Source organism: Homo sapiens, chromosome 18 (genome assembly GCF_000001405.40).
Source record: "Homo sapiens chromosome 18, GRCh38.p14 Primary Assembly".
Taxonomy (NCBI): Eukaryota; Metazoa; Chordata; class Mammalia; order Primates; family Hominidae; genus Homo; species Homo sapiens.
In genome coordinates, this window is record NC_000018.10 from 9,858,655 (window position 1) to 9,868,396 (window position 9,742).

Here is a 9,742-nt window from a genome sequence, read left to right on the forward strand (position 1 = left end):
GTTTCCTATGAAAAGTGTCTCTGTAGGGCTTTCCAGTTAATGATCTAAATGCATTGGCAGGATGAGGGATGATGAGCTAAGTGTTAATAAATGACACTGCTAGGAAGATTACAATTCAAATCTATTTCTATTTTGAGAAGCAGAAAAGATGGATGAGTACTCACTGTTACTGTTGAAGTCACGGTACCATGAAAGCCGCTCATTAAACCAGGATGGGTCTCTGGGAAGGCAGGGAGAGGGAAGAGCGCGCTGATGAGCGGAGGCTGGATGGGAGCTGCCCCCAGGAGTGGATCTTCCTAGCCCAGGAATTCCACACCACCAGGAAACTGCTGGACTGTTCCTTACCTGAACTTCCTAAGCCCATGAATTGGGCTTCATGCAGCAGAACTAGGGAGGAAAGGATAGGAAGAAGGAAGGGAGGAAGGAAAGGAAGGAAGGAGAAAGGAGCCCCTCCAGGAACACCTTTATTTTGTGCACAGCCCAAAGCAGGAGTGTTGAAGCAGGGTGAAAATCTGTGTGTGCAGTGTTGGCTGTAGGAAAGGGAACTCACCCTTGGCCTCCTTTTTGTTGCAGGCCGCCAGATCCCACCCTTGGACCCCCATGAAAATGGAAACAATGGAACAATCAAAGTTGAGAAGCCAACCATGCAAGCCAGCCGCCGGTGCTGTTGACCCAAGGGCCGTGGTCCACGGTACTTGAAGAAGCCAGAGCCCACATCCTGTGCACTGCTGAAGGACCCTACGCTCGGTGGCCTGGCACCTCACTTTGAGAAGAGTGAGCACACTGGCTTTGCATCCTGGAAGACCTGCAGGGGGCGGGGCAGGAAATGTACCTGAAAAGGATTTTAGAAAACCCTGGGAAAACCCACCACACCACCACAAAATGGCCTTTAGTGTATGAAATGCACATGGAGGGGATGTAGTTGCATTTTTGCTAAAAAAAAAAAAAAACCTTTAAAAATTGTTGGATGTGTACAAAAGTCTTACTGCCTTATTATGTGTATGGGATTCTAAAGTGGCATTCCACTTGGATTTCCTGTGCTACCTATCCAAATTCCAGTAACTACTTCAGTGTCATTGCCTTTGTTACCTAACCAACCTTCACTGAAAGGCAAATTTAGTTCAGGAGGTTAGTTTTTAGCTAGCTTTGGAAGTAAGCCTTTATTTATTACTTTTTGGAGGAAATCAGAGAAGTGTCAATGGACCGTCACTCAGACTGAGACTTGAGTTATTACAGAAGCCAGGAAAAGTGTATTAGAAACTGTTGTCTACACCACTTTTAATTGGTGAACAATTTTTCTAAGTTATGGTCATATATACCCAAACAAACCAAATCAAACTAAATTACTGCATATAATTTTGGGATTGGGTGGCCTAGTTTGAAAGAGTGATTTAAGTAATCACTATGTAAGTGGTGAGAGATGCAGGACATACACATTATTCAAGAGACCACCTGACATGCATCTCCTCCGCAGGAATACATTCGTCCTCTCTTAGAGAAGTTTAACGCACATAGTATTATTTTACTAAGAGAATATCTCTTGGTGTCATATCTAGGGGAAGAGAATTAACTAGAATTAAATTTAATGTTTGAATCTAAATCATTGGGCAAACTTCTAATAATAACAATTAATAATAGGTTACAGGAAAGCCAGCCAGAGGAAGTGTCAGCACTTTAAAATTCTAGACCCCAAAAAACTACAAAATCAGAAAAAGTATTTTTATGTTTCTAGCTTGAGGAGAAGGGCTTTAGGGCTAACCAGAGGTCTGACCCTAGAATGCCAAGGAACTGAGAATGGGCTCCGATGAAAACCTTCCTTTTCAGATTCCCTGTCTGCTCAATTAAAGATGTTTGAATCCAAAGGAAGTCAAGGAAGAAAAAGCATGGAAAGGAAGAGAACTGATTCCTACTGAAAATTCAAATTCTATTACCATTCTAACTTTCATAAAAAGTTGGGATCAAGAAGCAGCTGATTTCCTGCCAGGGCTTATATTAGGGGGTGATTCTTAAAGGACATTAGGATTGGTGCTCAGAAATGGTTAATCATGCTGTGTGCTAGCCAGGGCCAGCTGGTACCTTCTTTGCCATGAGCATTCAAGGGACGGCTAACCTTTATTGACAATCTATATCGCAAAAGTCAGGAAAGAGGTTGTGAGCTGATTGGATTAAAGACCTGGCACTTCAGTAACTCAGCACGCTTCCACTTCACTCAACTTAAGAGAGTTCATTGACAGTGTTAGGATGTGAAGGCTGGGAAACACTTATTTTGCTTCAAGAGTTCCACTTGGCTCTCCCAAATAGGTACCTCAAAAACTGTTAGCAAGCGGCATTTGGATGTCTTGACAGGGGCTTTGCAGGGATTTTTAGGGTTTTTTCCACATTGTCCACATTAATGGTTGGCATGATTGTGCTTGCAGGCCAAGAAATGATCATACCCCTTGCCAAAGGTAAAAAAAAAAAAAAAAAAATGAGTTGAAAATTGAAGTGACCTCTTTCCAGCTGAGTTGCAGGCTTATTTTGTAACCTTTCCTCATCCAGTTTTCCCTGAGAACCTGGGTTTATCTCTAGATAGCTGTTCAGGTTTTTTAGCTGAGGGGTAAGTATCCTAGCTGAGAGTTTTGCATCTTTGGGCTGGGTTTGCAGTGGTTGTGTTTTGCATAAAATGTCTAGTCTTTGCCACAGATAGTGAGCTACCCACTAATGAGCCCATGGTTTTATTTCAGAAGCACATGAGGGTGTGAAACCACTCTGTTACCTTTCTGTATTGTCTTAGCTATTCAAGCCAGTCAGAGGATAATATATATATTCTCATCAGCACTCAGAGTAGTCAGTGAAGAGAGTAGATCACACTTGGGCACACCAGGATTCACATAAACATTGTATCTTCTCTGTGGATGCTCAGGCCTTGTCTACAATGAGGCTTTACAACCTTCCTTTGTTTTGGCTCGGGATTACTTCCTGGCTGTCTAATAATTGAACCATAACCATGTAATATTATGTAAAGGCCTGGAAATTACTGTTGCTAAAAAAAGTCATGTAGTTTCATGTAGTGTAGCATCCTTGGCATCGTTTTCCAAAATTTGTTCCTTCTCCCTTTTTTTTTTCTTTCGTGTGTGGCATGAGTGTGTATCTGTGTAAATATGATTGTATATGTGTTACTCCGATATGTAATCCATTTCACTGGCTGAGTTTGGCCCCTAGCCATGTGTTAATATAAAGTAGGCATGGCTTCCCAATGGAAATCTCTGAGAATGACAGTGGAGTTGTGCAAGCATTTTACATTGCCACATAATTGACTTGCCATTTTATGGTTAAAAACGGCACATTAGGCAGTTGAATATGACGTTACCTTGCAGACTAAAAGGTTGAAGGCCCGAAACTAACTTTTAGCTAACAATAAGGGCTGTGCCCCAATGGAAACTGAGTTCATTTTCTGAGAAAGGTTTGGATGACTGAAATATTTCCTCTACAGTCAAGGACTTTGGCATGTGGTGGCTGAAACTGAGCTTTTTTGTGTGGGCTCCAGTTCTCACTGTTCTGCAATGCTCATGGCAAGTTGAATGGTGAGCTAGCTTATAAATTAAAGAGCTCTGAACTGTATTCAGACCGACTGGGTATCTAGCTTACTGTTTTAACATCATTGTTGAAACCAGACCCTGTAGTCCAGTGGTGCTGCCCTGTTGTGCAAACTGCTCCTTTTTCTCGTGTTTTTGTAAAGAGCTTCCATCTGGGCTGGACCCAGTTCTTGCACATACAAGACACCGCTGCAGTCAGCTAGGACCTTTCCGCCATGTATTCTATTCTGTAGTAAAGCATTTCCATCAACAATGCCTAATTGTATCTGTTATTTTTGGTTTAACACACACTGATTCATACTAATAAATATTTTCAGTTTTACCGTTTGTCTTTTTCTTATTACACTGTTCAGTAGAATCATTTTTTAAAAATCACAGTTAACTCAAACAGAGAATGATGATTCCCCAGGGAAATGTGTGCACCTGCACATATGCAGACATGCATAAGGATGTTCCCTGAAACACTGTTTGCAGTAGCAAAATGTTGCCTTCCACTAAGGAAATGGAAAAATGAAATGCGGCCCAGCCACATGATGAAAGCTATCAGGTAATGAAAATGAACTCACTGTCATGCATCAACATTGATCTCAAAAACGGAGTTTGGAGTGCAGGCTGCCATCCTGCACATCCCCAAGGGAGCCATCATAGTGTCCTGTATGAATGCAACCCTCAGGAACTGTGCAGTGCATCGCCTGGGCAACCAACCTGTGGCCCTGGCTGAGTGAATACAGCAAGCTGAATAAGTACCAATGCATGTCAACTCACACAGAACAATAATTCAGACATTGTTTATGAATGTGTTTGTGTGCTAAAAGAATTAGAAAGTAAAACAGGAACTTCATGATGGTCCTTACCTAAGGGGAGGGAGAGAAGTGAACAGGATCAGGGAGAACGAAGGAGATGTAACTATCTGTCATTTGTATTTACTTCATGATAGAAAAATCTGAAGCCAGTACGACAAAAGGATAACATTTGGTCATTTCAAGGTGTGTGTTTTATTAGCCTTTATATTTTTCTGTGTGTTTCGTTTTTCAAAGAGGAAGGGGAATGGAGACAACAAAAACTATATAAAGGATGAGGGTGACTTCTTTAATATGCAAGAAAGATTTCATAAGTGTATTTGCCAAGTCAGTTACTTTGATGAGGTATACTCACTCCCATCCCGTCTCCTCCGTTGTCTCAGCCCCCACTACCTGCCACCAACAAACACACACACACACACACACACACTTTCACATTCATGCCCTTGTGGGGCTTATGTTTTCTCTGCAGAGCTTCATTTGACATCTAGATGACTGGGAAAGTGGGAGGTGAAGAGGAGAGAAGCAGCACCTTCATGTTCTCAGCATTGGAGACACTGTCAGAGGCCCCTGCTAGGAAATGCTTCCAATATGTAATCAAACTAGAAACACCCACCATCACCAACAAGAGACCCAGTGTTCCAATTTTATGAGAAAGCATGGCTTTCTTTTGCATTTACTAAGAAGCGGTTACCTGTGTATAGCAACTTTGGGAGATGTTTTTGGAAATAATCCCGTGATTGGATTCAGATGGCAGATTTTGTGCAGCCCAGACTTCTATGTCAATAGCACTCTGCACAGGGTTTCCACCACCCCCTCCCACACGACTGTTTTGTCGCATCTCGGGGTGTATTTAATAGAACCAGTGTCTGAGGAGTTATGCCCTGAGGCTGGGAGGCCTTCATGGCAACTTGCACATTTTTACAAAACAACTCTGGTGGATTGAGGGTGCCCTGGAGAGCAAGGACAAGGAGCTCAGGCTGTGTTCAGCTGGACTCCAGCATTCCCTGTGGTTGCTCTAAATAGTTCCTGTTCCTTCAAATAGTTCCTGTTCTGGCAGGTATTGTCCAGAGAGCAAGACTTGCAGGTTGGAAGAGGAGAGAGACTTCATCCCAGTTTCATGAGCATTCATCTCCAAGAGTGTCTCCTCTCAAGTTTCTAGACATAACTGCAGCAACGGGCGTTTTGTACATATGTGAAGCCATCTTCTCCCTTGCATTCCAGTGTTCTATTAAAAAACTGAAAACACCAAGTGTTGCCTGGTATCCTGAAAATAGGCAGTCCCATATATGCTGGTCAGAGTATAAATTGGTGTAATCTTTCTAGAAAGCAGCTTGACAATGTATGTCAAAAACATTTGAAATTATCATATCCTATAAGCCACTAATTCTATTTTTCTTTCTTTCTTTTTTTTTTTTTTTTTGAGAAGAGTCTCACTCTGTTGCCCAGGCTGGAGTGCAGTGGCGTGATCTCCACTCACTGCAAGCTCTGCCTCCCGGGTTCACGCCATTCTCCTGCCTCAGCCTCCCGAGTAGCTGGGACTACAGGTGCCCACCACCACACCCGGCTAATCTTTTGTATTTTTATTACAGATGGGGTTTCACCGTGTTAGCCAGGATGGTCTCGATCTCCTGACCTCACGATCTGCCCACCTCGGCCTCCCAACACTAATTCTACTTTTCTATTTCTGGAAATTAATTTTACCTTTATGTGTGTGTGTATAACAGAAATATTATCTATTACTGCAAAACACATTTGTTTTGCCCCAAACTTAAATTGGCATAAAACAATAAACAATTATTATCTTACAGTTTCTGAGGGCAGGAAGTTGAAAATGGCTTAGCTAAGTGTTCTGGCTAGGGGTCTTCAGATGTCATCTGGGGCTACAGTCATCTGAAGGCTGAACTGGGGCTGGGATTCTGCTGCTGAGGTGGCTCACTCACTGGTTGTTGGCAGGAAGCCTCCGTTCCTCACCAGGTGTGCCTCTCCATGTGCTTCTTCATGGCCTCATGATGTGGCATGAGCCCCATTCTGTCTGATCCAGAAAGCTGAATGTAGTCTTCCAGCTGTTCACAGTGGCTTCTATTGTCTTAGGCTTCAACTTGTTGTCAGGATTTAACCCTCCGCCCTTTCTTCCAGGATAAGTGAATGGGAAAGAAGGATGTGTTGAAGCTTCTGGAGGGCTTATTGCACCCACAGGGAGGGGATGTATCTAATTGCTGCCCCTCATTGGCACCTCTTGCCTTCTGTGAAGGTCTGACTCATCCAGCCTGGTCTCTGGTGATAGCCCCATGCCCACTGTCACCTCTGGTCACAGGGTCCACAGTGGTCTCTCTGTCCCCCCATGTTACACACTTGGCTCCCTAGGTTCACTTCCATACCCCATTTAGAGTACCTGGGAGATACTGGGTGGGAGTGTGAACATTTGGCTCCACATTACTTATGCAAATTTCTGCAGCCAGCTTGGATTTCTCCTCAGAAAATGGGATTTTCTTTTCTATCACATTGCCAGACTGCAAATTTTCTAAACTTTTATGCTCTGCTTCCCTTATAAAACCAAATGCCTTTAACAGCACCCAAGTCACCTCTTGAATGCTTCTCTGCTTAGAAATTTCTTCCGCCAGGTACCCTAAATCATCTCTCTCAAGTTGAAAATTCCAGAAATCTCTAGGGCAAGGGCAAAATGCTGCCAGTCTCTTTGCTAAAACATAACAAGAGTCACCTTTGCTCCAGTTGCCAACAAGTTCCCCATCTCCATCTAAGACCACCTCCGCCTGGACTTTATTGTCCATATTGCTATCAGCATTTTGGGCAAAGCCGTTCAACAAGTCTCTAGGAAGTTCCAAACTTTCCCACATTTTCCCTTCCTCTTCTGAGCCCTCCAAGCTGTTCCAATCTCTGCTATTACCCAGTTCCAAAGTCGCTTCCACATTTTTGGGTACCTTTTCAGCAGCACCCCACTCCTGGTACCAATTCTTTGTATTAGTCCATTTTCATGCTGCTGATAAAGACATATCCAAGACTAGGCAATTTACAAAAGAAAGAGATTTAAAGGACTTACAGTTCCACATGGCTGGGGAGGCCTCACAATCATGGTGGAAGGCAAGGAGCAAGTCACATCTTACGTGGATGGCAGAGAGACAGCTTGTGCAAAGAAACTCCCATTTTAAAACCATCAGATCTTATGAGACCCACTCAGCATCATGAGAGCAACACAGGAAAGATCCGCCCCCATAATTCAGTCAGGTCCCACTGGGTTCCTCCCATGACACATGGGAATTGTGGAAGTTACGATTCAAGAGGAGATTTGGGTGGGGCCAAATCATATCATATCAGCCAAACCATATCAGCTGGAGATGTAGGTCTCCTTCCAGGAGGTGGCAGAGGGCTGGAGATGGGTCCCCTTCCAGGAGGTGGTGGAGAACTGGAGACGGGTCACCTTCAGGAGGTGGTGGAGAACTGGAGACGGGTCACCTTCCAGGAGGTGGTGGAGAACTGGAGATGGGTCACCTTCCAGGAGGTGGTGGAGAACTGGAGACGGGTCACCTTCCAGGAGGTGGTGGAGAGCTGGAGATGGGCTCCCTTCCAGGAGGTGGTGAAGAGCTGGGGCTGGATCCCTTTCCAGGAGGTGGTGGAGAACTGGAGATGGGCCCCCTTCCAGGAGGTGGTGGAGAGCTAGAGATGGGCCCCGTTCCAGGAGGTGGTGGAGAGCTGGGACTGGATCCCTTTTGGAGAGCTGGGGCTGGGCCTGCCTTCCAGGGCCTTACCTAGATGGCGTCTTGAGTGTCAGCTGCCTGGGCCTCTCCGGTGCTTTTCTTGCTGCAGCCAGTGGGAGGAGGGTGGTGGGTGGAGTATGTCTTTACAGCAACTTCACCCAGGCTTGCCCTTTTAGGTTCCTGAATCTTCTGTTTAGTTCCAGACTCTTCCCCTAGTCTGGGGCACTTTAGAGAGTGAAAGGGCTGCTGGGACAGCAAGAGTAAAGGGTAGTTCTGAGCATACTGGGATGTGGGATCATTCTGGTCTAACCTTCTACACATCTGGCAATGGGGGAGGGTGTATTGGAGGACAGAAAATTCATGAGTTCCTGGGTAAGCACCTTATCACCTATCTTTGTAAAATTGTCCATCCGTCCATCATTCCAACAAGTGTTTATTGAGTGCTACTATGAGTCAGCTGGTGAACTAGTTTTTCATGCTCCATGAGATTTCTGCAATTACCAAGCTTACAAAGGAGAGAACGAAGAGAAGGGAAAAGACAAGACAACTGAGAATGGCAAGAATGAGGAGTTCATTCAACTACAGACAGGGCAGCGTGACTGGAGGAGGCACTCTGACCACATGGGTAGGAACCAGGGACTGGGGAGTCAGCCCCACCCCTTACTCATCAAATGATTCTGAGCAAGTTACTTGGTTTCTCTGAACCTCAGTTACCTCTTATAAAATGGGAATAGTATCCACATCACAGGGTTAATGTCAACGTGAAGTGAAATCATTGTTTGCAAGACACTTAGGACAGGGAACTGAGTGGCTATGATGATGTCCTAGGCTTCAGCCTTTGCCCTGAAGCTGAGAAGCATTCTTTTTCCCTGTCCTCTTAGTTGCTACGTTCTTTTTTTTTCTTTTCTTTTCTTTCTTTCTTTTTTTTTTTTTTTTTATACTTTAAGTTCCAGGACACATGTGCAGGATGTGCAGGTTTGTTACATAGGTGTACATGTGCCATGGTGGTTTGCTGCATCTATCAACCCATCATCTAGGTTTTAAGCCTCGCATTCACTAGGTATTTGTCCTAATGCTGACCCTCCCCTTTCCCCCCACCCCACAAAACAGGCCCCAGTGTGTGTTGTACCCCTCCCTGGTCTATGTGTTCTCATCGTTCAACTTCCACTCATGAGTGAGAACATGCAGTGTTTGATTTTCTGTTCCTGTGTTAGTTTGCTGAGAATGACGGCTTCCAGCTTCATCCACGTCCCTGAAAAGGACATGAACTCATTCTTTTTTATGGCTGCATAGTAGTCCATGGTGTGTATGTGCCACATTTTCTTTTTTCTTTTTTTTTTTTTTAGACAGAGTCTCGCTCTGTCGCCCAGGCTGGAGTGCAGTGGCACGATCTCAGCTCACTGCAAGCTCCGCCTCCCGGGCTCACACCATTCTCCTGCCTCAGCCTCCCAAGCAGCTGGGACTACAGGCACCCACCCCCATGCCTGGCTAATTTTTTTTGCATTTTTAGTAGAGACGGGGTTTCACTGCGCTAGCCAGGATTGTCTCGATCTCCTGACTTCCTGATCCGCCCACCTCGGCCTCCCAAAGTGCTGGGATTACAGGCGTGGGCCACCGCGCCCGGCCGCATTTGGGTTGGTTCCAAGTCTTT

General features: G+C 44.8%; 1 protein-coding gene across 1 annotated transcript in view; it reads left to right on the top strand.

The window, feature by feature from the left end:
- Positions 1-3,897, top strand: part of RAB31 (RAB31, member RAS oncogene family) — a 154,251-nt gene extending 150,354 nt beyond the window's left edge. The window contains exon 7 of the mRNA NM_006868.4: positions 574-3,897. Within this exon, the coding sequence (NP_006859.2) occupies positions 574-671 (98 nt within the window). The 3' untranslated portion in view covers positions 672-3,897. The remainder of the gene's footprint in view (positions 1-573) is intronic.
- Positions 3,898-9,742: the final 5,845 nt, after the last annotated feature.